The sequence below is a fragment of the Homo sapiens genome, chromosome 12, assembly GCF_000001405.40.
Source record: "Homo sapiens chromosome 12, GRCh38.p14 Primary Assembly".
In the NCBI taxonomy this organism is placed as follows: Eukaryota; Metazoa; Chordata; class Mammalia; order Primates; family Hominidae; genus Homo; species Homo sapiens.
The window spans coordinates 108,585,669-108,612,815 of record NC_000012.12 but is presented as its reverse complement, the minus strand read 5'-3'; the positions used below and the strand labels follow the sequence as shown (position 1 = coordinate 108,612,815).

Here is a 27,147-nt window from a genome sequence, read left to right as displayed (position 1 = left end):
AGAGAAACCAGGTAATGACAAACAGCTCCTGTGTGAACAACTTTTTTTTTTTTTTTTTTTTGAGACACAGTCACGCTCTATCTCCCAGGCTGGAGTGCAGTGGCACAATCTCAGCTCACTGCAACCTCTGCCTCCTGGGTCCAAGCGATTCTCATGCCTCAGCCTCCCAAGTAGCTGGGATTACAGGTGTGCACCACCATACCCAGCTAATTTTTTGTATTTTTAGTAGAGATGGGGTTTCGCCATGTTGATCAGCTTGGTCTGGAACTCCTGGCCTCAAGTGATCCGCCCCACCTCGGCCTCCCAGAGTGCTGGGATTACAGGCATGAGCCACTGGTGAACAACTCTTTCTAATGTCTTTCACTGACGTAGCCCAACTGCCTCTAGAGACAGTCGACAAAAGATCAAACCTCTGTGTTTGAGGTGTCGTGTGAATTAGGGTCGAAACATGGTTAGCCTTGAGGACTTTTGTGGTGATCATGCTGTACCGCCCCCTGGGGGCAGAAGTGGACAGAGACCTGATTGCTGAGCATTTAGGGGCACAAGGTCTCTCGACCCCTCACTCATGCACTCGCCCACACAGTCCCTGGGCATAAAATGCTGTGTGCTTGTGGGAAGGAATTGTGACTCATCTTTGCCCTCAGCCTCTAGTGTGATCCTAGCCCAGAGTAGGTGACTCAGAAATGTTTGTGGAATATTCCAGCAACTTGGAAGAGGTAAAGAAAATAAGGCAGCCCCAGGTGTATGATCAATCAAACATGATTCAGCAATTGAAAATGATGTTTTTGAAGGATAATATGGAAAAATGCCCTTGACATGATGTTAAATGAACTCTGAGCCTTAGTTTTTTCATCTGTGAAATGGGATAATAATAGTATCATCTTGCAGGGGTGTTGTGGGGATTTAATGAGACTGGCATGGAAAGTACTTAGCATGATGCCTTGCAGAAAGTAAGTCCTCCGTAAATAGTCGCTAGAAGGTTAAGTCCTCCATAAATCGTGGCTATAAGGTAAGTCCTCCATAAATCGTGGCTATAAGGTAAGTCCTCCATAAATCGTGGCTAGTAGGATTATCAAGTATGAAGAAAACATGACCAGAAGGAAATATACCAAATTATTGAGAGAGGTTAGTCACTGAGGGTAGGATTTTGGGTGAGCTTAATTTGCTTCTTTCAACTTTTCTGTGTTTTCCTAATATTCCCAAATGGACAGAAAGAAACCCAAAGTGTTAGGAAATCTAGTGGCCCCAGGCTTTATCCTTTAGTTATTAATGCCCAAACAGGAGTGCTCTGAGCTAGTGGTTCTTCCCCGGGGATGATTTTGCTCCCTAGGGGACATTTGGCCATGTCTGGAGACGTGTTTGGTTGTCACGATCGTGGGCATCTGGTGGGTGGTGGTCAGGGATGCTGCTCGACATCCCACAGTGCACAGGACAGCCCCCCACAGCACAGAAGTCCAAAAGTGCCGTGGTAGAGAAACCCAGCTCTGTGGCTTCCCCTTCGGCAGTGTGGGATTCCCAGAACCCCCCTTCCCAAAGATTTCTGGAAACCCAGAGATGCTTCTGTGTCATCATGAACATGGTTGTTGTGCATCCCTTGGTGGCTGGAGGGCTGCAGTGGTTGCTGCCTCTTTTCTAGCACACACACAGGGCCCCCCAGAACTGGGCACACCTATGCCCAAGGTTGGCAGAACCAGAACGCCACGCCGAGATGTGCGTCGGGACAGCCTTATTGCTGCTCCTGCCAAGAAAAAAGGAGAAAGGAAAGGGCCCCATGGCAGGGAGACCTAAGCACAAAAGTGGCACAAGCACAGCCCCTTTCACAGGCACAGGGACCCTGCCAGGGTGGCCGAGTGAGGGTGAGTTCTCACAACGGTGGTCAGTCTCAGCCCTGGTTCTGAGATGCCCACTACTCCCTTGAGGTAGCTCTTTCTGGAGTCCCTGTTATCTGGCTTTGTGCCCGACCTCCAAGCCCCTGAGAGGGAGAGGCTTCAACTGATTTTCCTGAGAGGTTCAGTAGCCCCTCCGCAAATTTCTGGATACAAACAAATGCGTGGGCTAGCAGGATTGTCTGATCCTATCAGCAGAAGCTTCTGGGCCCTGACTCCTGCCCAGCTCAGATGCCATCTCATCTGTTGACAGTCATCTAGCTTGGACGGGTGAAGAAAAGCTCCCGTCACCTCCCACTCTGCACCGGCTCCACGAGCTCTCTTGCTCTTTTTCAGGTAGTGCTGCCTCAGGGCCTTTGCCCTTGCTGTTTCTTCTGCCTGGGGCCCTGTTCCCAGATATCTGCACAGCTGGCATCTTCTCATCCTGTAGGCCTCAGCTTGGATGTCACCTTCTCAGAGAGGCCCACTCTGCAGCCCTGCCCCCAGATATTCACTAGGACACCCCCTTTTCCTTTCAAGGCACTGGTGACGGTCAGAGTGATGTTGATAGATTGATTTGCGCTGCCTGTGGGTGGGGCCTGTGTCCCTCATGTCCACTCTCTCCCTGTCCCTGCCTGGTGCCTGGCACATGGTAGAGAATCAGGAAACATGTGAATAAAGGGACTAGCAAGGGAGGCTTTGCAGAGGGCGTAGGGGCTGAGGCGAGGCAATGGGACCGACAAAATTTAAGCAGCAGGGGCAGAGAGCAGGGGGGCCTTAGGTTTAAGGCTTGGAGTCAGGCGACCCTGGTTCAAATCCTGGCTCCACTGCTTAGGAGTTGCATGACCTTGGGCAACTTGCTGACCTCTGGCAGCCTCCCTTCCTCACCTAGGAAATGGGGAGAAGCATCCTTCCTACTCCTAGGGATTTGGAAGGGTGGAGTGAGCGTGGACAGCCTGGCACACAGTCGGTGCCAGTTAATGCTCACCCTGGGAGAGAGAGTTCCTGGCTGCCGGGTCAGCGTGGACCATCCAAGGAGTACCGTGGAGGCCTCCATGTCCCCACAGCCCCCGCCCCTGTGGTTTGGGGAGTGAGACCCCGCCCAGCAGAGCTCTCGGTCTTGTGGCCTAAAATTAGCTCACAGATTCCTTGGCTGCCTGGCCGGTGCTTCCAACCGACAATTCAAAACAGATGTTTCCAGCTGTTGCGGCCCATCCCCCCTGGCCAGCACCCACGTGTGTCCAATTCACAAGGGTTGGAGTCAGCCCTGGGGAGGTCAATTGGCTTCATGCACCCTTGAGCCCCAGCTGGGCTGTGGGTTTGAAGTGGGGAGGCGAGCCCTGGGTCTGCACGCAATTCCTCCGAGGATACGGGCTGGGTGGCTGATTGCTTTGTCACTTTCCACCCCGTAGCCTTGTGGAGTGCCTGCTGTATACCAGGCTTCTGTGTTAGCTGCTGCCCAGATGGCGTGAATAAAGACTGTGTCAGCCGGGTGCGGTGGCTCACACCTGTAATCCCAGCACTTTGGGAGGCCGAGGTGGGTGGATCACCTGAGGCCAGGAGTTCGAGACCAGCCTGGCCAACATGGCGAAACCCCATCTCTACTAAAAATTCAAAAATTAGCCAGGCATGGTGGCGGGCACCTGTAATCCCAGCTACTCAGGAGGCTGAAGCAGGAGAATCTCTTGAACCTGGGAGGTGGAGGTTGCAGTGAGCCCAGATGGTGCCACTGCTCTCCAGCCCGGGCAACAGAGCAAGACTCTGTCTCAAAAAAAAAAAAAAAAAGACACTCCATCCAGGTGTCACTACTGTTGCTGTGATTGTTATTATCATTAGCATATTGACCAAGTGCCAGTTGCCGAGGGCTCACTGAATTCTCACAAGAACCCAGAGAAGTGAGGGTTATTACCTCCATTTTAACAGATGAGGAAACCGAGGGTCAGAGTGGCTGACCCTCAAGGTCATCCAGCTCAGAGGCAGCAGAACTCAGAGGTCCCGGAAGGGCAGGTGGTCTTGGCTCATCCTGACGGTTTTACCTTCGTGCTGCCACCCCCGATGTGGCCCTTCCCCATGGGTGGGTGTGCCTGGGTGTTGCAGAAGACCCTGTCTGTGAGGCTGTCCCTAGGCCCAGGGGCAGAAGGCTGACTTGTGGCAACTGCCTGGAGGAGGTGGCTGGTCAGGAACCCCCGAGTGCCAAGCTTTTAGCCACAGCTGGGTTGGAAGCTGGTGTCAGGTTTGGAAGGGGCCAAGGGAGGTCTGGGGTACTGCATGGCCTGCATGGGGTGTTTTTGTTTGTTTGTTTTGTTATGTTTTTTGTTTCTTTTTGTCAGACAGAGTCTTGCTCTGTTTCCCACACTGGAAGGAGACACCTGGATGGAGAGTCTCAAACACTGCACTGGAGTGCAGTGGCCCAATCTCGGCTCAATGCAACCTCCACCTCCAGGGTTCAAGCGAGCATGTCTGGCTAACTTGTACTTTTAGTAGAGACGGGGTTTCACCATATTGGCCAGGCTGGTCACCTTCCTGGGGTCTTATTGCAGAGCTTCTTCCATTCCCCAGAGATGGGGCTCTGCGCTGTCTCTTGATCAGGGTCCCAAGAGGGTGTATGTGTGTGAATGGGGGCGGGGGCAGTGAGGATGGGGATGAGGGGGCTTGATACAAGGAGAGGAAGGGAATGGTGAAGCTTTACACACTTGGGGACCCATGGTTGATCTTCTTCACTTGTAGTAAAAAGCCAAAACCCCTGCTGATGCCCGCAGGGGCCCCACATTCTTCCCTTCTCCCCTAACTCACTCTGTTCCAGCTACACCAGGCTCTCTTCTACTCCAAGAACACGCAGGCGCCCCCACCTGAGGATCTTAGCACTGCCCTTCCCGCTGCTGGGGCTCCTCCTCTGAGCAACTCCCTGCTCGCTGTCCCTTCTCCTGAGGGTCTTTGCATGGAGGCTGCCCACCCCTGCTCTGTTTACCTCCATACTGACTCCCACCTCCTCCAGACCTCGTGGCCTCACGAAGCAAGCTTTTCAATGCTCGGCCCCCTTCTGCAGGGTCCCTCTGCAGGGACCTGGATTTTTTGTTTGTTTGTTCGTTTGTTTTCTTTTTTGAGACAGGGTCTTGCTCTATTGCCCAGGGTAGTGCGATTATAGCTCACTGCAACCTCCGCCCCCCAGGCTAAAGTGATCCTTCCTCCTCAGCCTCCCAAGTAGCTGGGACTACAGGTGCCCACCACCACGCCTGGCTATTTTTTTTTTTTTGGTAGACACAGGGTTTTGCCATGTTGTCCAGGCTGGTCTCAGACTCCTGGGTTCAAGAGATCCTCCTGCCTCAGTTTCACAAAGTGCTGGGATTACAGGTGAGAGCCACTGTGCCTGGCTAGGAGGGGAATTTTCTTTTTCTTTTTCTTTTTCTTTTTTTTTTTTTTGAGACAGGGTCTCGCTAGGGGCAGGTGATCCTCCCATCTTTGCCTCCCAAGTAGCTGGGACTACAGGCACGTACCACCATGCTCAGTTAATTTTTGTATTTTTTGTAGAGATGGGTTTTTGCCATGTTGCCCAGGCTGGTCTTGAACTCCTGACTGTTGGTGATCTGCCCACCTCGGCCTCCCAAAGTGCTGGGATTACAGGCGTGAGCCACCGCGCCCTGCTAGAATGGAGATTTTTAATCTGTGTTGTTCTTTGCCTGGAAAGTGTCTGGTGCATAGTATGTGCTTAATAAGTATTTGTTGAGAGAGAGAGAGAAAGAGAGAGGAATAAAGGAAGGGGGAGAGAGAAAGAGGAGGGGAGGAGGGAGGGGAAGGATGGGAGGAAGGGGGGAGGGAGGGGGGAGGATGGGAGGAGGGAAGGAAGGAGAAGGGAGGGAAGGGAAGAGAAGGGAAAGAGGGCAGGGGAGGGGAGAGAAAAGAAGGGGAGGAAGGGAGCGGAGGGGAGAGGAAGAGGGAAGAGATGGTTTTCATGTAAAGCAAGGAAGTGGAGGGAGAGCAGGAGAAATGTGAGGTGACTTACCTGAGAATTTGGGTAGCTCAGGGCCCCTTAATTTCAGCTTCAAGCCTTCACTACTTCTCACTCTCCACTAGCCCCTCTCCTGCTCAAGGACTCAAAGACAGACAGGGCCCCCATTTCCACCATGGCTGTAAAGCATCTTCAGAAGCATCGCCTCTGTTCCTTCTCCTGCTGGCCAGTGAGGCTCCTGGTAGCGACTGGCCCAAGGGCACCAGTGAACAGTTGGCAGAGCAGGGCACCAGAGCCGGGTCTGCAGTGCGGTGAGCGTTTACATTCCTGCCAGGCCCATCTGGCTTCCATGCTGGGCTGATGAAGCCGCATCTTACACTAGGCCCTGGGGAACGTAAATGTTGACATGGAGTGTGCAGCTGGCTGGGCCACTGCAGCCACCGGAAGCTCTAAGACCCCTGGCCTTCAGCCGGGGGGTCACTCCCTCAGAAAGAAAGGGATGCAGGGTGCTTTATTATTTAAAAAAGCCTTTTAAGGGAGTCATAACCTACATGAAGGGCACACATCTGAAGACTACAGCTTGATTTTTCCATGTGTGCATCCACCTAACCACCACTAACCACCCACCTAACCACCACTAACCACCTGCCTAACCACCACTAACCACCCGCCAAACAACCACTAACCACCCACCTACCACTAACCATCCACCTAACCACCACTAACCACCCACCTAACCACCACTAACCACCCACCTAACCAACACTAACCACCACTAATCACCCACTTAACCACTTAACCACCACTAACTGCCCACCTAACTACCTGACCGTCCACCTAACCACCACTAACCACCCACCTAACCACCCTGCCACCCACCTGGTCACCTAACCACCCACCTAACCACTCTGCCACCCACCTAGTCACCTAACCACCCAACCACAACTAACCACCCACCTAACTACCTAACTGCCCACCTAACCACCTCTAACCACTACTAACCACCCACCTAACCATCCACCTAATGACCACTAACCACCTACCTACCTAATCACCCACCTAATGACCACTAACCACCCATCTAACCACCTAACCACCCACCTAATGACCACTAACCACTCACCTAATGACCACTAACCACCCATCTAACCACCCGCCTAATGACCACTAACCACTCACCTAATGACCACTAACCACCCATCTAACCACTTAACCACCCACCTAATGACCACTAACCACTCACCTAATGACCACTAACCACCCACCTAACCACCCGCCTAATGACCACTAACCACCCATCTAACCACCTAACCACCACTAACCACCAACCTAACCACCCACCTAACCACCACTAACCAGGTATAGATCTTAACACAGGTCCACCCCCAGAAGGGTCCTTGTGCCCCTCCTGGGCAGTACTTTTGACTTCTGACCCCACAGCTTAGTTTTGTTTTGTTTTCTTGCTCTGTTGCCCAGGCTGGAGTGCAGTGGCATGACCATGACTCACTGCAGCCTTGACCCCTGGGCTCAAGCAATCCTCCAGCATCAGCCTCCTGAGTAGCTGGGACTACAGGTGATTAGTACCACACTTGGCTACTTTTAAATTTTTTTGTAGTGACAGGGGTCTCACTATGTTGCCTAGGCTGGTCTTGAACTCCTGAACTCAAGCAATTCCCCCTCCTCTGCCTCCCATAGTGCTGGGATTACAGGCAGGAACCACCTTGCCTGGCCTATTAGTTTTGCCTGTGTTCTAGAACTTCATGGAGACATGTGTGTTCTTTTGGATTGAGTTCTTTTGCTCCACGTGTCTGTGGCATTCGTCCACACTTGTTCCTGTTCCCTGGTGAGTAGTATTCCATCATGCAAGCATGGCACCGTCTGTGCATCCATTCTCCTGTTGATGGACATTTGGGCTGCTTCCAGTTTTTTGCTATTATGCATAAAGCTGCCATGGACACTTTTATCTTTTGTGTTTGTGCCTTTGTGTGGATGTGTGTTTTCATTTCTCTCGGATAATGCCTAGGAGTGAGATTGCTGGGTCAGATGAGAAGTGGATGGTTAACTATATAAAAACCGCCAAACCGTTTTTCCAAAGTGGCTGTGCCATTTTTCTCTCCCACCAGTAGTGGGTGAGCATCCAGTTATTTGCTGGAGGTGGGAGAAGGGATCGTTGTTGAAACAGGTGTAAAATTTACAAAGAATCACAGAACGTCAGAGCTTGCTGATGCCTCCTCTGACCCTTCCTGGTATAGGAAGGGAAAGTGAGGCTCAGATCACAGTGTGGGAGGGGCAGAGCCAGTAGCTAATGTCAGTCTCCCAATTTCCTAGCTCTAACTGCCCCCTGGTAAGAACGGATCAGCAGTGCTCAGTCTTATTTCCCCAGAGGAGGTTTCATGCCAAGCCCTTTCCTGCCTCACGGCCCTTGTACTTGTCCCCTTGGCTTTTCCTCCTGCTCTTGCATACGTGGTTCTCCTGATTCTGCAGGTGTCCATTCAGACACCTCTCTCGTGAGGCCATCCTTGAGCACAATGGCTAAAATAGCTGCCCAGGCACCCGCCCCACCCGCTTCCCAGCTACTCCCTGTCTCCTCGTCTTTTCCATTTCCCTGACAGCACTTCACAGCATCGGGTTACCTTCCCTCTTTGCTGGTTGATTTGTTTCTTGTCTGCCTCCCTTACCCGGAGCTCTCTGAGGCGGAAGTCTGATCTGTCTTGCTCTTGGCTGCCCTGCACTGTCCATGCAGGAGCTGGTGTGGAGCAGTTGCCTAGTAAATATTGGTTAAATTAACCTACAAACAAGCAAAATAATATCAGTGTATCCCCAATGAATCCTGTCTCCTCCTTGAGCCTCAGTTTCCCCATCTATAGCATGAGCAGTTTGCACTGGCTCGTGGGAGGGCATTTACTGAGCATCTACTATATTCCAGGCGTGGGTGACACAGATACAGTGACAGTAAAGGCCTGGATTCTGGCCCCGAGAAGCTCCCAATCTAGAGATGCATGTAAACAGGGCATTACAGCCCAGTGTACTCAGGGCTCAAAGCCAGGAGCCCAGAGGGTACAGGAGTGTAGAGGAGGCTGCTGGTCTCCCTCTCCAGAGGCTGGCATGCAGGGAGGGCTTCCTGGAGGTGGTGATGACATAGATACAGGGTGTGTAGGGGTGGTCAGGCAAAGGGGCTGTGGAGGACAGTGCTTCAGGCAGGGGGAACAGCCCAAGCGAAGGTGTGGCAGCATCTGCCTCCTTCACTGCTGTCTCTCTGTGCCCAGCACAGTTCCTGGCACACACAGGTGCTCAGTCAACGGTTGGGGAATAAGTGAAAATGTCTGGTTTACAGGTGGGGAAACTGAGGCCCAAGGAGGTTTCACAACACACCTAGAGCTCCACCCTTCTGGGCAGCCATGGCCAGGGAGGCAGGGAGGGTGGGAGAAAAACCCACCCCACCTCGGGCCTCTGCCAGCGTCCTCAGGGACAAGGCTACTCTGCCTCCTTGGAGTGCCAGGCGGGAGGCCCCTCCACGGGTGTCCCTCCAAAGGCCAGGCCTGTGCTGTAATGGGGCCACAGCCCAGGCCTCTCTTGCCACATGAAAGGCTTGGCCTATTTTTGCCCAGAGGACAGGCTCCAGTGGCCACTGGGACTGTGTAATTAGAAGAGGCCCTGCACCCATGAGGGGCTGGAGCTGGGGGCTGTGGTGGGCAGGGTGGCTGCCCCAGGAGCAGATGGGGAGGACCCTGGCACAGATCGAGGTGGGGTGGGTTTTCCCCTCACCCTCCCTGCCTCCCTAGCCATGGCTGCCCACCAGGGCGGGGGACCCCGGCGGCTAATTGCACGGCGGGCACAGGGTGAGGTCTCTGAATCCTTCCTAGGCCGGGCAGAGGGCCCAGGTGCCACTCTATGCCTCTGAAATTACAGGCTACAAGTGAGCGGCACAGCCTGCTCCATGCCACAGGCCTGCCTGCGCCCCTGGGAACCATAGTAGTGCAGTCCACAAGGAGCATCCCGGCTGGGCCCCACAACAGGCCCCCCGAACTAGAGAACGTGGAACATGAGTCTCTTAGGATGAACGAGGAGCCGCTGGAGCGGACTCTCAGAGCGCTACCTGGTGCAAACCTGAAAATGCAAGCGTGTGTGATGTTCCTCACCCTGTGTCCAAGTGTTCTCATTGTTCAATTCCCACGAGTGGGAACATGCGGTGTTAATATACATATGTAACAAACCTACACATTGTGAACATGTACCCTAGAACTTAGAGTATAATTAAAAAAAAAAAAAAGAAAGAAAATGCAAGCGTGGAGGTCAGAGCGGTCATTCACACAGTCAACAAGCATTTATGGAGCACCCATGGTGTTCCAGGCACTGTCCTGGGTGGCGAAGTTCACAAAACAGGCAGAGCTCCTGGTGCCTGAAGACCTGGCTCCTGGACCCTTGCAATGACAATAATCTTCAGGAGCTGCCTGGAAGGTGCTGCACTGCCACCCACCTCAGGGCCTTTGCACGCACTGATAGTGACTGGGCACTCCCTTGCGTCCTTGCTTTTCTAAATGCCTCCTCCTCATCTTTAAGAGCAGCCGTACCGTCACCTCTTCATGGAGGCCCCTATGAGGCTCGGGGCCAGAATAGCCTCCCAGACAAGTGCTCTTTTGGCCCCTGAACTACCGCTTCCAACTCTTAGCCCACTTTGCAGTTAGATATTCATTTGTTTGTTTACTTGCTCATTGCAAGTTTCCCCGCTACTCTGTAAACTCTGTGTCTCTGTTTGTCCATCACTGCCTCCCAGGGCCTGACCTTGGCCTGTGTGCAATTAAGGTCAAAAGAAATATTTGTATACATATGTACAACTATTATGTGTCCATAAATTTTTTTTTAGAAATTTAAAAATACATTGGCTGGGTGCAGTGGCTCATGCCTGTAAATCCCAGCTACCTGGGAGGCTGAGGTGGGAGGATCGCCTGAGCCCAGGAGGTCGAGGCCACAGTGACCTGTGATTGTGCCACTGCACTGCAGCCTGGGTGGCAGAGTGAGACATTGTCTCAAAAAAAAAAAAAGTTTAAAATATATTGACATAAAAAAAGAAATATTTATAGAAGGAATGAAATTTAGAGTACCAGAGAATTGGAGTCTTAGGGCTGGCAGGCTTGTGCCAAGCATCTAGTCTAACCCCACATTTAGCCACAGCCCAGGGAAAGGCAGTGATTTGCTCCGTTGCCCACAGTCTTTGCCTGAGCTGGGGCTGGGACTTGGGGCTCCTTTTTTGCCTCTGATCAGTGACTGACATTGTCATTGTTCTGTCCTCAGATTGTGGGTAGGGATGCTCAGTTTAAGGACAGCCTGTGTGTGTGTGTGTGTGTGTGTGTGTGTGTGTGTGTGTGTGTGTGTGTGTGTGTGTAGCGTGTGATGTGTGGTGTGTTGACATGGTGGGAAAGCCCTTCAACAGGACAGAGGGAGGTAGGAGCCCTATTTTCGGGAACGGGCCCCTTGGGAGGGGGGTGGTCCCATTTCGAGATTTGCTGACACGGGGGCCAGTGCAGAAAAAAAGGGCTCTGACCTCCCAACATGCTAACTGATTCTGGGCAGGTTGCTCCAGCATGAACTGCAGTTTCTGTGTCCACCAAGTGGGCTTCCTGCATTCATTCATTTCCCCACAAGCACATAAAGGGCCTGCTGTATTTGAGGCACAGTGCTGGGGGAGCAAAACCCAGTGATTTGTGGGTGGATGATTCCAGACCCATAGGGAGACAGTAATAGTAATATTCAACTTGGGGTGGCAGGCAGAATAATGCCCCTCCCCACGAAGATGCCCACAGCCTAATCCCTGGAACTTGGAAATATGTTACCTTTTTTTTTTTTTTAAGATTTGAGGTCGTGCTCTGTCACCCAGGCTGGAGTGCAGTGTCATGATCATAGCTCACTGTAGCCTTGAACTGCTGGTCTCAAGCAATACTCCCACTTCAGCCTCCCAAGTAGCTGGGACCATAGGGATGTGCCACACCCAGCTAATTAAAAAAAATTTTTAGAGACAGGGTCTCACTAGATTGCCCAGGCTGGTCTTGAACTCCTAGCCTCAAGTGATCCTCCCACTCAGCCTCCTGAGTAGCTAGGGTTACAGGTGTGAGCCACTGCACCCAGCTGAGTGTGTCACACCTTATTTGGCAAAAGGGATTTGCCGATATGGTTAATTAAGGCTCTCAGGGAGATTATCCTGGATCCTCAGGGTGGGGCCAACGTCAACACTAGGGGCCTTCAACGTGGGAAAGGGAACCGGAAGAGAGATGGTGGTATGAAAAGGACCCTGCCTGCTACCACTGGCCGGGAGGGTGGAGGAAGAAGCCTAAGAGCCAAGGAATGCCAGCAGCTTCTAGAATCTTGAAAAGGTAAAGAAAGAGATTCGCCCCCAAGACTCCAGAATGAACGCAAGCCCTGTTGACACTTTGATTTTTAGCTTCACGAGGCCCGTTTGGGACTCTTGACCAAAAGAACTGCAAGAGCATGAATGTGAGTGGCTTCTGGCCTCTAATCTGTGGTCATTTGTTACAGCAGCAACAGGGAACTATACCCTTGGCCTTGGCCTGTGCTTTTGACATTGCTGAGCACGTGCATGCTCCCTAGCTCCTCTGCCTTCCCCTGCCAGCTTCCGAGTAGTAGGGAGTCTCCATCTCCATTTTACAGAGGAGGAAACAGAGGCTCCATGTGGGGCAGGACATGGTGGAGGCAGGATTTGAAGTGGGTCTGTCTGCCTCTCGCTAGATGAATGAATGAATGAATGAATGAATGAATGAATGTAAGGGGCTGCTAATCCACGGGACTCCTCAGGTCAGCCAGATGTCCTGGTTCCAGGGCCTGCCACTAACTCACCTCAGATCCCTGCTTGAACCATTAGAACTCACCTGCCTCACTTTCCCCCTCTGTGAAATGGGGCTCCAACGCCTATTCAAGCTACTATCATTGGGGGCATTGTGAGGCCACAGATCCCAGAACAAACCCTCCAAACCCTCATTGACTCCCTACTGCCTCCTAGGTGACCTTCCAATACTTTAGCCCAGCTCCTGCCAATGTCTCCAACACTTACTACCCCTCCTTCAGGGGGATGCTCTGCCCAGGAGGGAGAAGCAAAGAACGAGGGGAAGGGGACTCCGAGAGCTTCCCTCAGGCTGGGCCTCTGGGGCCACCTGTGCAGGGAGCAGGCTCTATTTGGGTTGGTTGTGTCCCTGCTCCTCGACATCCCAAGGTCCCCAGACTGCAGCCCTCAGAATGTTGGGTAAGGTCTTCTTCCCCTGCTGGTGGGCCCTGGGGGAGGTTTGGCTGCCCCTGACCACCCGATGTCTGGTCTAAGACAGGTCAGGTAGGCCTGGAACACCCCTGGCCACCTTAAAGCGGGCACAGCTGCTACAACATGTCTGTGGGTGGCCACTTGCCCCTGGGACATGTGTGTGCATGAATGTGTCTGTGCGAGTATTGGTGGATGGTCCCCTGTTCCCTCGAAGATGCAGGGTTTGGGGTGATTTCCAGAGAAGATGGGAAAGTCTCTGATTTTATTTCCCAAGCAAATGACTGTCCCAGTTTTCTGGGGGTGAGCGAGGGCTGCTGGGACCATTGCAGGGAACAATGATAATCTAGGCTTGGTTCCTACCCAGAGAGCACGCACTCATCCTTCATGCACTCCCCTGTTCCAAACCCTCACTGGCTCCGTACTGCCTCCGACCTTCCGAGACTTTAGCCTGGCTCCTGTCAACATCTCTGACCCTTACTACATGATCCTCTCTTTGGTCCATGCTCCAGCCTAATCTAATTGCGGTGGCTTGTGCGTGGTGGCATTCCCAGCCACCATACCTTTACCCACGCTGGTCCTTCCATGCGGAATGCCTTTCCAGGGCCTGCTTTGCCCGCTTCTGCTCATACACAGGCATGCCCTCCAGGATGGCTTCCTACCTCTTTCCCTTGGGGGATTGATCTCTCTGTCTTGGGGTTCTCGGAGCCCTTGACCTGACCCCTTTCTGTTTGGCAAAAAAGTAATTTACCTCGGTGTCCTTCTCCCTGGTAGTCTGTGAGCTCCCCAAGGCTGGGCTGTGCCTGATTCACCTCTGGAACTTGCTTAGCACAGTGCGTGGCCTGCTGCAGGTGTTCATTGAGCACTTGCCGAATGAATGCATGAATGAATGAATGAATGAATGAATGCAAGGGGCTGCTAATCCACAGGACTCCTCAGGTCAGCCAGACGTCCCGGTTCCAAGGCCTGCCACTGACTCACCTCAGGACCCTGCTTGAACCATTAGAACTCACCCTGCCTCACTTTCCCCCTCTGTGAAATGGGGCTCCAACTCCTATTCAAGCTACTATCATTTGGGGGCATTGTGAGGCCACAGATCCCAGAACATCAGAGTCAGAGGTAGCCCAGAAAGCTTCCCACCCATCCCTACAAATGGGAAACTGAGGTCTGGAGAGGGAAGGGCAGAGTTGGGCTCCCTGTCTCAGGCTCGGACCCACCATCAGGCCTGTCTCTAAAACGAATCCCAGCTCCCACGCTGCACCCTGAGCCTGGAAGCCTGAGCCACACAAGGACGGGGAATTTTCCTTCCCACTTCCAGAGGCCTCTGAACCTCCCTGAGCTTGTCCCCTTTGGAGGGTATTGGGCAGCAGCGTGGGCAGAACCCCAGCTCACTGTCTGGGGGAGCGCTGCAGGACAGCCTTGTCTGTCTGTCTCAGCCTGCCCTGGGGACCCGAGGTCAGGGAGGAAGTGCCGCATCTGGTCTTCCCCAGAGCGAGAGTGTGAGCAAGGGTGGGATTGCGTGTGGCCCGAGAGTAGCCCCTCCCCTCCCCCTGTCCCCACCCCAAACCCTCTTAATGAAATCAAGCTGGCCCTGCGGCCCAGCCGGGGAGGGAGGAAGGAGGAGGGACGGGAGGAGGGACGGGAGGAGGGAGGGCGGGCAGGCGCCAGCCCAGAGCAGCCCCGGGCACCAGCACGGACTCTCTCTTCCAGCCCAGGTGCCCCCCACTCTCGCTCCATTCGGCGGGAGCACCCAGTCCTGTACGCCAAGGAACTGGTGAGTCCTGGGGTCCCCTCCTCTGTCCTGAGAGCCTGGAGCTATCTTGGAGCTTAGGGACTGGGGACTGTTGGAGCACTCTGGGGGGCCTCTCTAAGTGTGTGTGGGCTTTGAGTGTGTGTTTGGTGTTGTGTGCATGAGTGTGGTGGAATCTGAGTCCCGTGTGCGGTGCTGGGGTGGGCCAGGGTGGGCCGGAGTGTTGTGTGTGTGCGGCTGGGGCCTTGGTGTAGGGGGTGTGTTGCTTCCACTTTTCTGCAAGTGGATGCCAGGCTGTTGCTTCCAGGATCTGTGTGAGGGTGATGTGGACGGTATTGTCCTGTGTGCAGGGATCGGCTGTGTGTCAGGGGGTTGTGTATGTATATGTGTTGTGTGTCCGTGTGTGTTCTCTGTGTATTGTGTGCATGGGCCATGAGAGTGCTGTTGGGTGTCTCAGTGCTGTGTGAGTCGGTGTGCCTGTGTTGTGTGTCTTTATATTGTGTGTCCATGCTGCTCTGTGTGTGTGTGTGTGTGTGGAGGGGGATTGTGCCCCCAGGACCCCCCTCCCCATCCAGACCTCCAGGGCCCAGGTCCCTGTCCTTGGCTGGCCCTGGGGTCGGGGGCATGTGCAGTGCTCCAACCAGAACACCCCTCCCCCACAAGGCCACTGATTGAAGCCAGGTTTCCGTGGGCCGCCCCTCCCCCAAAGGCCACCAGTCTCTGGGTGGGGGTGGGGCAGCCCCCGGTCCCCTAGCTTCAAGTCTTGGGGCCCCCAGGCCTCAGGGGTGCATCTGCACTCCTCCACAGACTCAGGACCATCTTAGGGCATTTGCCACACTTACACACGGCCAGCCCTGCCTGACATGTCCCCAGGCAGGGAGTCCTGGGCAATCACGTGGTACCTGCTAATTGGCACCCACTGTGCACCAGGCATGGCCGCATCTTGTCCTAACAGCAGTCCAGGGAGGTGGCTCTTATCCCCATTGTACAGATATGGAAACCGAGGCTCAGAGAGGTGACATGCCCAGCCCAAGGACACATAGCCGGGAAGTGACCTCCTCTGGGATATACCAAGACAGGCTTCTCTGTCCAGGGCTCTGCTGGGCTCACCCCTGACTTTCTGTGTGACCTGGGCAGGCTGTTTCCAGTCTCTGGACCTGAGTTACCTCTAAGGTGAAGCAAGAGGCGTTGGGCCTGACCCCAGCTCCTAATGGCCTGTTAGATTCTGAGTCCTTGAAAAAATTAGGGTCCGGGGGGAGGTAGGCAGAATAATGACTTCAGAGCTGCCCAGAACAGTGCTTCATTCCACAGATGGGAAACTGAGGCCCAGAGAGGGCAGGGGCCGTCCAGGGCCACACAACCATCTTTTTTGAGGCTCTGCTGACTGCAGGTGGGGCTGGGTCCTCCATACGTTGCCCCCACCTTTCCCTGGAAGCCAGGAGGGGTTGTGGGGTGCAGGGGACTCTGAGAGTCAGGGTCTCAGCCTTAAAGAGCCAGTGGCAGTTTGTGTGTTCTCCTTTCTTGCCCTCTGCCTCTGACTTCGTGTGTGTGTGTGTGTGTGTGTTGTATGTATATGTGTGTGTAGGTGTATGTGTGCATGTGTGTGTATGTGTATGTGTGTGCATGTGTGTGTTTGGTTCTGCATTCCTTGGCGGCCAGAGCTAAAGAGGTTTCACTGAACGGGGTGAAAAGGTTGGTCTTTCACTGGGTGGCGGCCGGACCAGACAGTGAGCGCATGTTCCCATCCGGCGATGGTGCTCATTTGTCGACTCAGGGTGGGAAATTGCTGGCTGAACCTGGAGTTCGGCTAGGGAAGGAATTCAGCTACCCCAGACCCTATCTTTCCTCGGGGCTCAGCTACTTCGCACCAGGCACTCTCTGAAAGTTGTCTCATTTGGCCCTAACAGCTCTGAGAGGTGCTACCTGTGGTCACCCTGTCCCAACTTACGGATGGGGAAAGTGAGGCCCACAGGAGCCAGACCACAGAGCTGGATGCGATGGAGCCGGGATTCTTGACCCAGCCAGAACTTGAGTGGGTCTCCAGCCACCCATGGTCCCAGCTGCCCTCTGCAGTGAGAAGTGGTAGTTGTTGCCACAAAAGCTCTCTCCTAGGCTTGACTGGGGGTGGGAGGCAGGGAGGTGACTGGCAGGTCACAGACCCCAAAGCTCAAGGTTGTCTGTAGGAACCTTTGCTAACAGGTGCCAGAGAGGTGAGGGGGTCCTTTCCTCATTTAGCATCTGACAGGTGATGTCCACCAGCGGGAACAAGCCATTCCTGGCTCAGAGTGTGTGGTGTGTGCATGTGTGTGTGGTTGTGTAGGTGAGTGTGTGTGGTGTATGTGTATGGTTGTGTGTATGTGGAGTGTATGCATATATGTGTGGTGTGTGCATGTGTGTATGATTGTGTGTAGTATGTGAATGTGTGTATAGGGGTGTGTGTGGGGCATGTGTGTACGTGGTTGTGTGTGGGGTGTATATGGGTATGTGTGGCGTGTGTGCATGTTTGTGTGTGGGGTGTGTGTGCATGTGTGTAGATGATTGTGTGTGTAGTATGTGCATGTGTGTATATGGGTGTGTGAGTGTGTGTGTGGTATGTGTGTGCATGGTTGTGTGTGGTGTGTGTGCATGTGTGTATGATTGTGTAGTCTGTGCATGTGTGTATATGGGTGTGTGTGTGTGTGGCGTGTGTGCATGATTATGTGTGGGGTGTGTATGGGGATGTGTGTGTGAGTGTGTGGCGTGTATGAATGGTTGTGTGTGTGGTGAGTGTGCATGTGTATGTATGGCTGTGTATGAGTGTGAGTGTGGTTTGTGTGAATGTGCGTGTAAACTCCTGGGATCAGACAGAGGAAGGTTCAGATCCCAGCTCAGCTACTTATCATCTGTGTGTCCTTGGGGAAGTCACTGTCTGTCTCTGAACCTCTGTTTCCTCATCTGTAAAATGGGGATAATGAAGCTGCCTCAGGGCTCCTGTAGGATTAAAGGCATGAAAAGGGCTTAGATGAGTACCCGCGAGGAAAGCACAGGTGACCAGCTCATTTAAAATGAGCCCCTGAGAAGCTTTGTCTCTTTTTTAAAAAATTGAAATATTTTAATATATTTCATAGAGATGGAGGTTTCCTTATGTTGCCCAGGCTGGTCTTGAACTCCTGGGCTCAAGCGATCCTCCCAAGTAGCTGGGACTACAGGCATACACCACCAGGCCTGGCTACTTTTTTATTTTTTTGTAGAGGTGGGGTCTTACTATGTTGCTCAAACTCCTGCCCTCAATCAATCCTCCGGCCTCGGCCTCCCAAAGTGCTGGGATTACAAGTGTGAGCCACCACACCTGGCCAATTTTGCCTCTTTTTATGTCCTGGAATTATTTTTTTATTTTTTCCATCTAAGCCAGTTTGTTCACATTTAATTTCTTTTTTTTCTTTTCTTTCTTTCTTTTTTTTTTTGACAGGTTCTTGCTCTGTCACCCAGGCTGGAGTGCAGTGCCAACTCCGCTCACTGCAGCCTCAACTTCCCGGGCTCAGGCGATTCTCCCACCTCGGTCTCCTCGGTACCTGGGACCACAAGTGTGCGCCACTAGGCCTGGCTAATTTTTGGTGTTTTTAGTAGAGACAGAATTTTGCCGTGTTGACCAGGCTGGTCTTGAACTCCTGAGCTCAGGTGATCCTCCCACCTTGGCCTCCCAAAGTGCTGGGATTACAGGCATGAGCCACCGCACCCAGCTGATGCGATCCATTTCAATGAAAGCTGTGTCACAGAGAAGCCTCAGGTCACCTGGAACAAGCCCCTCAATGGCCCAACCTGGTTCCTACCTCACCTCCAGAATCCTCACGGTACCTGTGGGGAAGGTAGTGTCCTCTGCTTCACCAAGCAGGCCCTGAGGCCCAGGTGCTGGAGATGTGACCGCAGCCGAGGCCTTGGGAGCCTGGCTTCCTCCTCCAGCCCGGAACTTGCTGTGTGGCCCTGGGCCTGCCCTTTGCCTTCTCCGGGCCTCTGTCTCTCCACCTCAGTTCCCTGAGGCCTCAGGACAGGAGATCCTAAGGCTTTTCTGTGTTGAAGCTTCTAGACCCAAGCCCGCTTCCGGGACCTGAGCCCTCTGCTGGGCCGGGCAGGGGTTCTCAGAGGACAGTGCAGTGAATTGTCCCTGGGTTTGAGCAGCTGGGAGCCCCCAGCTCACATTGGCTGGGAGAGACAGTGTTTTGAAACTCAGCTCCTCTGTCAACTCTGGCTATGAGGAATTAATTCATCAGCCGGGCTGTCTGGGCCAGGTGGGGTCTTGGGGTTCACCCGGGAGCAGCCTTCCATCAGGGCAGGGAGGCCCCCGGCTCATCTGGTTCCCATCTAGTGGGGGCGGGGCGCATCGGCAGCTCAGCTTTGTCTTGGGAACCAGGACTTCCCCACCCTGGGGCCCATCCTGGCTCCTGCTTGGAGCCTGGGGGTGAGGGCAGCCACAGGGGGCTGTCCATGCATGCCCCTGGCATCCATGACCCCTGCCTAGCTCAGAGACCTGGAGGCTTCAAACCCTACGAATCTTTTTTTTTTTTTCTTCTTGAGATAGGTTCTCGCTCTGTCACCTAGGCTGGAGTGTGCAGTGGCGCGATCTCGGCTCACTGCAACCTCCGCCTCCCAGGTTCAAGCGATTTTCCTGCCTCAGCCTCCTAAGTAGGTGGGATTACAGGGGCACGACACCATGCCTGCCTGATTTTTGTATTTTTAGTAGAGATGGGGTTTCACCATGATGGCCAGGCTGGTCTTGAGCTCCTGACCTCAAGTGATCTGCCCACCTCGGCCTCCCAAAGTGCTGGGATTACAGGCGTGAGCCACTGCGCCTGCCCTGCTAGGAATCTTTTGCAGAATAAGGTAGAGCTGGGCTGGCGGAAGGTTTGAGAAAGCCCCTGAACCACCAGGTTGTGGCCGCGCGGAGCCACTTTGGCCACCCAGTGCATGGGGGCCAGACCCTGAGGGGAACGGGACCACAGAGAGGCTGGGGACTGAAGGGAAGGGTCCCAGAGTTGTGGGTAGGGGGTGAGGTGTCACTCAGCAACCTCAGTCACTCAATCGGTTTCTCACTTACTCAGCCCTACTATCATTTCTCCCTCTCTGCTTGGATCCAGACCCAGCTCTTCCCTGGCAAGTCACCACGTCCCTCTCAGCCTCTGTTTTTTCATCTGCAAAATGGGCCTAATCATAGAACTTCCCACACTGGGCAGTGATCAGGATTCATTGAGAAGTTCCATGTAAGAAACTTAAAACAGTGGCTGACACATAAAGTCATGAAAGTGTAAATTATCATTATTAATTCAGCCACGTCAGTCAGGGTACATTTATTGAGCACTTACTGAATACCAGATATGGGGCCAAACCCTGAGGAGGCCGAGATGAATAAGATTCAGCCCCTGACCTCCGGGACCTCCAGAGAAGTGGGGGAGCACATCTGTACTCCACAGCTGAACCAGCGGGGCTCAGGCCCTGGGAATGGAAGGGACTTGCTAGAAGGTGTTTCATGCTCCCTGTTCCTCCTGGGGGCTGGTGAGCCTGTTTCTGAATCCTGACACTCTAGAGTTCCGCCATGACTTCTCTCCTCCCTCCTGTCTCACAGGTCCTGGGGGCACCATGGTTTCGGCGGCAGCCCCCAGCCTCCTCATCCTTCTGTTGCTGCTCCTGGGGTCTGTGCCTGCTACCGACGCCCGCTCTGTGCCCCTGAAGGCCACGTTCCTGGAGGATGTGGCGGGTAGTGGGGAGGCCGAGGGCTCGTCGGCCTCCTCCCCGAGCCTCCCGCCACCCTGGACCCCGGCCCTCAGCCCCACATCGATGGGGCCCCAGCCCATAACCCTGGGGGGCCCATCACCCCCCACCAACTTCCTGGATGGGATAGTGGACTTCTTCCGCCAGTACGTGATGCTGATTGCTGTGGTGGGCTCCCTGGCCTTTCTGCTGATGTTCATCGTCTGTGCCGCGGTCATCACCCGGCAGAAGCAGAAGGCCTCGGCCTATTACCCATCGTCCTTCCCCAAGAAGAAGTACGTGGACCAGAGTGACCGGGCCGGGGGCCCCCGGGCCTTCAGTGAGGTCCCCGACAGAGCCCCCGACAGCAGGCCCGAGGAAGCCCTGGATTCCTCCCGGCAGCTCCAGGCCGACATCTTGGCCGCCACCCAGAACCTCAAGTCCCCCACCAGGGCTGCACTGGGCGGTGGGGACGGAGCCAGGATGGTGGAGGGCAGGGGCGCAGAGGAAGAGGAGAAGGGCAGCCAGGAGGGGGACCAGGAAGTCCAGGGACATGGGGTCCCAGTGGAGACACCAGAGGCGCAGGAGGAGCCGTGCTCAGGGGTCCTTGAGGGGGCTGTGGTGGCCGGTGAGGGCCAAGGGGAGCTGGAAGGGTCTCTCTTGTTAGCCCAGGAAGCCCAGGGACCAGTGGGTCCCCCCGAAAGCCCCTGTGCTTGCAGCAGTGTCCACCCCAGTGTCTAACAGTCCTCCCGGGCTGCCAGCCCTGACTGTCGGGCCCCCAAGTGGTCACCTCCCCGTGTATGAAAAGGCCTTCAGCCCTGACTGCTTCCTGACACTCCCTCCTTGGCCTCCCTGTGGTGCCAATCCCAGCATGTGCTGATTCTACAGCAGGCAGAAATGCTGGTCCCCGGTGCCCCGGAGGAATCTTACCAAGTGCCATCATCCTTCACCTCAGCAGCCCCAAAGGGCTACATCCTACAGCACAGCTCCCCTGACAAAGTGAGGGAGGGCACGTGTCCCTGTGACAGCCAGGATAAAACATCCCTCAAGGCTGGGTGTGGAGGCTCACACCTGTAATCTCAGCATTTTGGGAGGCCAAGTGCGGACATCACTTGAGACCAGGAGTTCCAAACCAGCCCTGGCAACATTGTGAGACCCATCTCTATAAAAACAAAAAACAGTCCACTAAATCAGCCACATTAATTGGGAATCATATGTCACAGGTCATTTGTGGGGCAAACATCACTGCTTTTCCATCAAGGGAGCAAAGAATAAGTGGGAGTTTTGGAAGAGTTTGGATGAGAGACGCCAAGGTGCCCAGCGTTCGTAAGGCAACATGCAGCCTGGCGTGAAGCAGTATTTTGAAACTGCAAATGGTTCCCTTCTTGTGTCCTTTCAATGCTGAATATTTTAGTGTCATTCTGCCTGTGCTCAGAGCTCCAGCAGCAGAAGTGTGTGTGGTTAATTAGGACACTTCTGTGAGAGGACCCCTGCACACATTACGACAGGTCCCTAAATGAGCATTTCCCAAACTAGGTTCCCCGAGGCACTCTACGGAAACAAGATTTTTTTTTTTGAGACGGAGTCTCGGTCTGTCACCCAGGCTGGAGTGCAGTGGTGCAATCTTGGTGCAATCTTGGCTCAGTGCAATCCGCCTCCCAGGTTCAAGCGATTCTCCCGCCTCAGTAGCTGGGATTACAGGTGCCCACCACTGCGCCCAGCTAAATTTTGTATTTTTAGTAGAGATGGGGCTTCACCATGTTGGCCAGGCTGGTCTGGAACTCCTGACCTTCAGGTGATCCACCTGCCTCTGCCTCCCAAAGTGCTGGGATTACAGGCGTGAGCCACCGTGCCCGGCCCAAACTACTTTTTAAAACAGCTACAGGGTAAAATCCTGCAGCACCCACTCTGGAAAATACTGCTCTTAATTTTCCTGAAGGTGGCCCCCTGTTTCTAGTTGGTCCAGGATTAGGGATGTGGGGTATAGGGCATTTAAATCCTCTCAAGCGCTCTCCAAGCACCCCCGGCCTGGGGGTGAGTTTCTCATCCCGCTACTGCTGCTGGGATCAGGTTGAATGAATGGAACTCTTCCTGTCTGGCCTCCAAAGCAGCCTAGAAGCTGAGGGGCTGTGTTTGAGGGGACCTCCACCCTGGGGAAGTCCGAGGGGCTGGGGAAGGGTTTCTGACGCCCAGCCTGGAGCAGGGGGGCCCTGGCCACCCCCTGTTGCTCACACATTGTCTGGCAGCCTGTGTCCACAATATTCGTCAGTCCTCGACAGGGAGCCTGGGCTCCGTCCTGCTTTAGGGAGGCTCTGGCAGGAGGTCCTCTCCCCCATCCCTCCATCTGGGGCTCCCCCAACCTCTGCACAGCTCTCCAGGTGCTGAGATATAATGCACCAGCACAATAAACCTTTATTCCGGCCTGAAGTCTCACCAGTTTTCTGGGGGGTGGGGGAAATGAGCCTGCTGGGGAGGGGCTCTTGCATGGGGATGGGGACAACTTTCTGGGGAGACACATCAGCCCAGTCCTGGAGGGTGAAGGGACAGATTGATGTGGGAAACAAAGGAAAGACCGGTGCTCCCGAGGAATGGGCTGGAACTCATGTCCCCAGGGGTGGAGCACCAGCTCTGGACTTGTGGCCACGCAGACCCAGGTTCCATGCCCAGCTCTGCCACTGTGGCCATGGGAGAGTCACTCACCTCTCTGTTTCCCCTGCAGGTGGTTGAGGACTGGGACGGGTCTCATGGACAATGCCCCCCTCACTGCACCCTTGGCCGGGATCGGGAGTAGGAGGCAGCCCTGGCCCTGCAGTCGGCCTCTGCCTTCTGTCTCCCCACCCACAAAACTCCTCTTGGTCTTTGATGGCAAGTTCCTGCAGCGACTTCTCCCCCGCACCCTGGGCCTCAGGAGCTGCCAGCTGGAATCCAGATGTGGCTGGGGCTGGGAGCATGTGCTGGGTCCCTGGGGCTGGGGGGCAGTGGGCCATCCCCTGCAGCCCCTCCCCTCCACCGACCCCACCTCCAGCCGGAGGGGGCCCCAGAGTTTTGGGTTTCATAACACACAATAGCCTCTGTCTCACTCAGTGGGGAAGGGCCCTCCCTTTCTCAGCCCAGCCAGGCCTGCCAAGAACAGCAGGAGGGTGGAAGAGTAATACCTGTGTGTGCTGCGTGGCTCTGACCAAATCGACCAAATCATTCAACTTCGCTGGGTGTCACGGGCTGTGCTTTCTTCTTGTTCCCAAGCTCCTGCGGGGTGTTAGTTGTTGTGACGTGACTGGGAAGTGCATGAAGCTTCCCTTGAATACATAAAAATCTAGTAAAACAGAAGCAATCATTAGAGACCCTGGGGGTGCAGACGGGGGTGAGCTCCCTGATCAGCGGCTCCAGTCTGCAGTCTTCCACTAATGCTCAGCGGGACCCTCCAGAGGACATGGAGTCCATGACCTCAGCCATAGCCTGTGACCCCCAAGACTGGTGGGGGATGAATGAAGGAGGTGTTCCGAGCAACAGAGCAGTTCACCTCTTCCTCACCTCTGAGCTTTTACAGCTGCTGTTCCTTCTGCCTATGACACCTTTCCACCCCTCCCAACCCCCTGCTGCCTTGCTAACTTTCCCCTTATCCTTTAGCTTCTGGCCTAGATGTCCCTTCCTCCTGGGAGCCTTCCCTGATAGCTTCCACCCCACCCCCCTTCCACAGTCCCTTGGCTCAATGATAATAATGGCTTCCAATTAATGAGCCCCTGTTATGTGCCAGGCCCTGCTCTCAGTACTTGGCATCATTAACTCATTGAGACTTGCAGCCCTCTGAGGTGGGCACTGTTATTATTCTCATGTCACAGATGTGGAAACTGAGGCCCAGAGAGGTGATGATGTCGGCTGCCCAGGTCCCAGAGCCAGGATTCCAGCCCAGCAATTTGATTCCAGCGTCTGAATTCTCCACTGGGCTCTAATGCTTCTTTGAAGAATGAATGAATGAATCCCTTGGGAAGGGGGCAGCAGGGCTCCTCTCCTGCTTAAAGCCACTCCAATCTGCTCTTACATCTGAGATGGGGTTACCTAGAAGGGGCATTTTATGGGCACACATCTGGCTGGGCACCAGTGAACACTGAGCCATAGAGGGAGACGGTGGTTGCTGGGGGGTAAGCAGGATTGGGGGAGATTTGGGCTTGAGGCTGAGGGAGAGGGTTCCACTGTTCTCAGGGGCCCAGGAGTCTGCCAGGGCCTGAACAGTCCCCCCACTGTCTCTGGGCTTGTAAAACGGCACAGCTGCCACCAGCCTGTGAGTCTGTCCCCGAGCCAGGCCTGCTGTCATTCTAAAGGGGGAGGGGGAGGAGGAGCAAAACTACCCCAAGGCCTCAACCCCAGCTCAGGGTAGAGATGGGGGATTCTGGTCAACTGTGTGGGTGTTGGGGGTGCTAAAGGGCCACTGGTTGGAAGCGGGACTCCTTCCCAGCCCCTTGCTCTGCTCTGATCAGCCCAGGAGGGCTGGGCGTTCCCTGGCTGGGGTCAAGTCGAAGGTGAGAGTGAGATTGGGCAGTGGGCACATCTCTGCTGGGCACATTGTCTTTAACCCTCTTGTGATGTTTCAGGTGGTTCTGGTCCCATGGTCACCTTGTCTGGGTCCAGTCCCAGCTCCACTCTTTCTTAGCTGTGGAGCCTTGGGCAAGTCGCCTCAACTCTCTGGGCCTCCGTTTTCATGTGTGTAAAGAGGGAATGACCCTATCCCATGTAGCAGGGGTCTCCACCTGCACATTGGGATTACCTGGGAGTTTAACAAAATACTGGCTCCTAGCCAGGTGCTAGGTGGCTCACACCTATAATCCCAGCACTTTGGGAGGCCAAGACAGGAGGCTCACTTGTACCAGGAGTTTGAGACCAGCCTGGGCAACATAGGGAGACCCTGTCTTTAAAATAATAATAATAATAATAATAATAATAATAATAAATATCCAGGAGTGGTGGTGGGCACCTGTGGTCCCAGCTATTTGGGAGGCTAAGGCAGGAGGATTGACTGAGCCCAGGAGGTTGAGGCTGCAGTGAGCTGTGATCGCACCACTGCACTCCAGCCTCAGTGACAGAGCGAGACCCTGTCTCAAAAAAAAGTTGACATCTAGGCCAGGTATGCTGGCTCATGTCTGTAATTCCAATACTTTGGGAAATTGAAGCAGGAGGATTGCTTGGGCTCAGGATTTTGAGACCAGTCTGGGTAACATGGTGAGACCCCATTAAAATTAAAAAATTAAAATACTGGCTCCTGGGCCCCACCTAGACCAATGACATCAGATTCTCTGAGGATACAGCTGAGCAACTGTCACTTAAGATGCAAAGTCCACAAGGAGAGAAGCCTGGGGGTTGGCCCACCACTGCCTCTCTAGCGCTTGGCATGGTTCCTGGCACACAGTAGGGGTTCCGTGTGTGTGCATGTACAAGTGTGTAAGGCTGAAGGAGGGCATATGAATCAGTGTACCATACATCCATAACCATATATCCATAACCATATTTAACCCTCACTGCATTCCCCACAGAGAGCTGAGCAATGTCAGTACCCGCATTGCACAGATGAAGAAACTGAGGCTCAGAGAGTTGCAGTGACTTGCTTGAGGTCGCACAGCCCGGCGAAGCTGGGATTCGAACCCAGGTCTGTCTAGTTCCTCAAGGCTCTTCAGCTGCCTCATTTTAGAACATATCTATGGTCTAAAGGCCGAGTCTTCCACTATCGGTGCAGTGGGGTGTGAGTTTCATCATAGGTCCTGCATCCCTGTTTCGACCTCCTCTGTCCTCCTTCTCCCGGGGGTGTTGACTGTGGGTCATGCCTGTCCTGTGTGTCTCGCCTGTCCTGTGTGTCTCATTCACACAGGCCTAGAATCATCCAATCTGCTCCTGTTGGGATTAATTAACCCTCTGGGTTGTGAGGTGGCCCAGGAGAAAGTAGCAGGTTCGTAGCTTCTCCGATTTGCAACCACAACTATTTCATAAGCACCTACTATGTGCCGGGTATTGGGAACACAGTGTTAGCACAACAGACCTGAAGCTGTATTCTAGTGGAACAGATGAAAATTAATCAAAGAATGATCTAGACGCAGCTACAGTGATTAATAACAGAAATAGCTGCCATTTGTAAAAGGGCTATTATGCACATGGCTGGTGCTTTGCCAATAATATTTTTTACAGCTTTACCGAGGGTTAACTGACACAGAATAAAATGCACATATTTAAAGTGTACAATTTGGCCAGGCCCAGCGGCTCATACCTGTAATTCCAGCACTTTGGGAGGTCAAAGCAGGAGGATCACTTGAGGCCAGCCTGGCAATGTAGTGAGCACCCCCAACCCAATCTCTACCAAAAAAAAAAAAATTAAATTAGCCAGGGCCAGATGCTGATGGCTCACGCCTGTAATGTCAGTGCTTTGGAGGCTGAGGTGGGAGGATCCCTTGAGCCCTGGAGTTTGAGACTAGCCTGGGCAACATGGTGAAACCCCATCTCTACAAAAAATACAAAAATTAGCTGGCACAGTGGCGTGCGTGTTGTCCCAACTACTTGGGAGGCTGAGATGGGAGGATCGCTTGAGTCCAGGAGGTTGAGGCTGCAGTAAGCTGTGACTGCA

General features: G+C 53.9%; 1 protein-coding gene across 2 annotated transcripts, besides 3 other annotated features; it reads left to right on the top strand.

Moving 5' to 3' along the window:
* Positions 2,529 to 2,823: a silencer, noted in NCBI's record as "tiled region #9141; K562 Repressive non-DNase unmatched - State 7:EnhWF". NCBI's record gives its function as "represses a minimal TATA promoter and a strong SV40 promoter by Sharpr-MPRA in K562 cells {active_cell/tissue: K562}" and the evidence as "EXISTENCE:reporter gene assay evidence [ECO:0000049][PMID:27701403]".
* TMEM119 (transmembrane protein 119) lies at positions 14,732 to 22,965 on the top strand. 2 transcript variants are annotated; one of them, XM_011538271.3, is made up of 3 exons: positions 14,732 to 14,846; positions 18,271 to 18,479; positions 20,419 to 22,965. In XM_011538271.3, the coding sequence occupies exon 3, from the start codon at positions 20,433 to 20,435 to the stop codon at positions 21,282 to 21,284; it is 852 nt and encodes a 283-aa protein (XP_011536573.1). In that variant the 5' UTR covers positions 14,732 to 14,846; positions 18,271 to 18,479; positions 20,419 to 20,432; the 3' UTR covers positions 21,285 to 22,965. The 2 variants fall into 2 exon arrangements, with proteins under 2 accessions (XP_011536573.1, NP_859075.2); NM_181724.3 differs by lacking the exon at positions 18,271 to 18,479.
* Positions 18,503 to 19,169: an enhancer, noted in NCBI's record as "H3K4me1 hESC enhancer chr12:108987423-108988089 (GRCh37/hg19 assembly coordinates)". NCBI's record gives its function as "activates a minimal SCP1, AML or CMV promoter by ChIP-STARR-seq in naive H9 embryonic stem cells {active_cell/tissue: H9 hESC(naive)}" and the evidence as "EXISTENCE:reporter gene assay evidence [ECO:0000049][PMID:30033119]".
* Positions 23,310 to 24,038: an enhancer, noted in NCBI's record as "H3K4me1 hESC enhancer chr12:108982554-108983282 (GRCh37/hg19 assembly coordinates)". NCBI's record gives its function as "activates a minimal SCP1, AML or CMV promoter by ChIP-STARR-seq in naive H9 embryonic stem cells {active_cell/tissue: H9 hESC(naive)}" and the evidence as "EXISTENCE:reporter gene assay evidence [ECO:0000049][PMID:30033119]".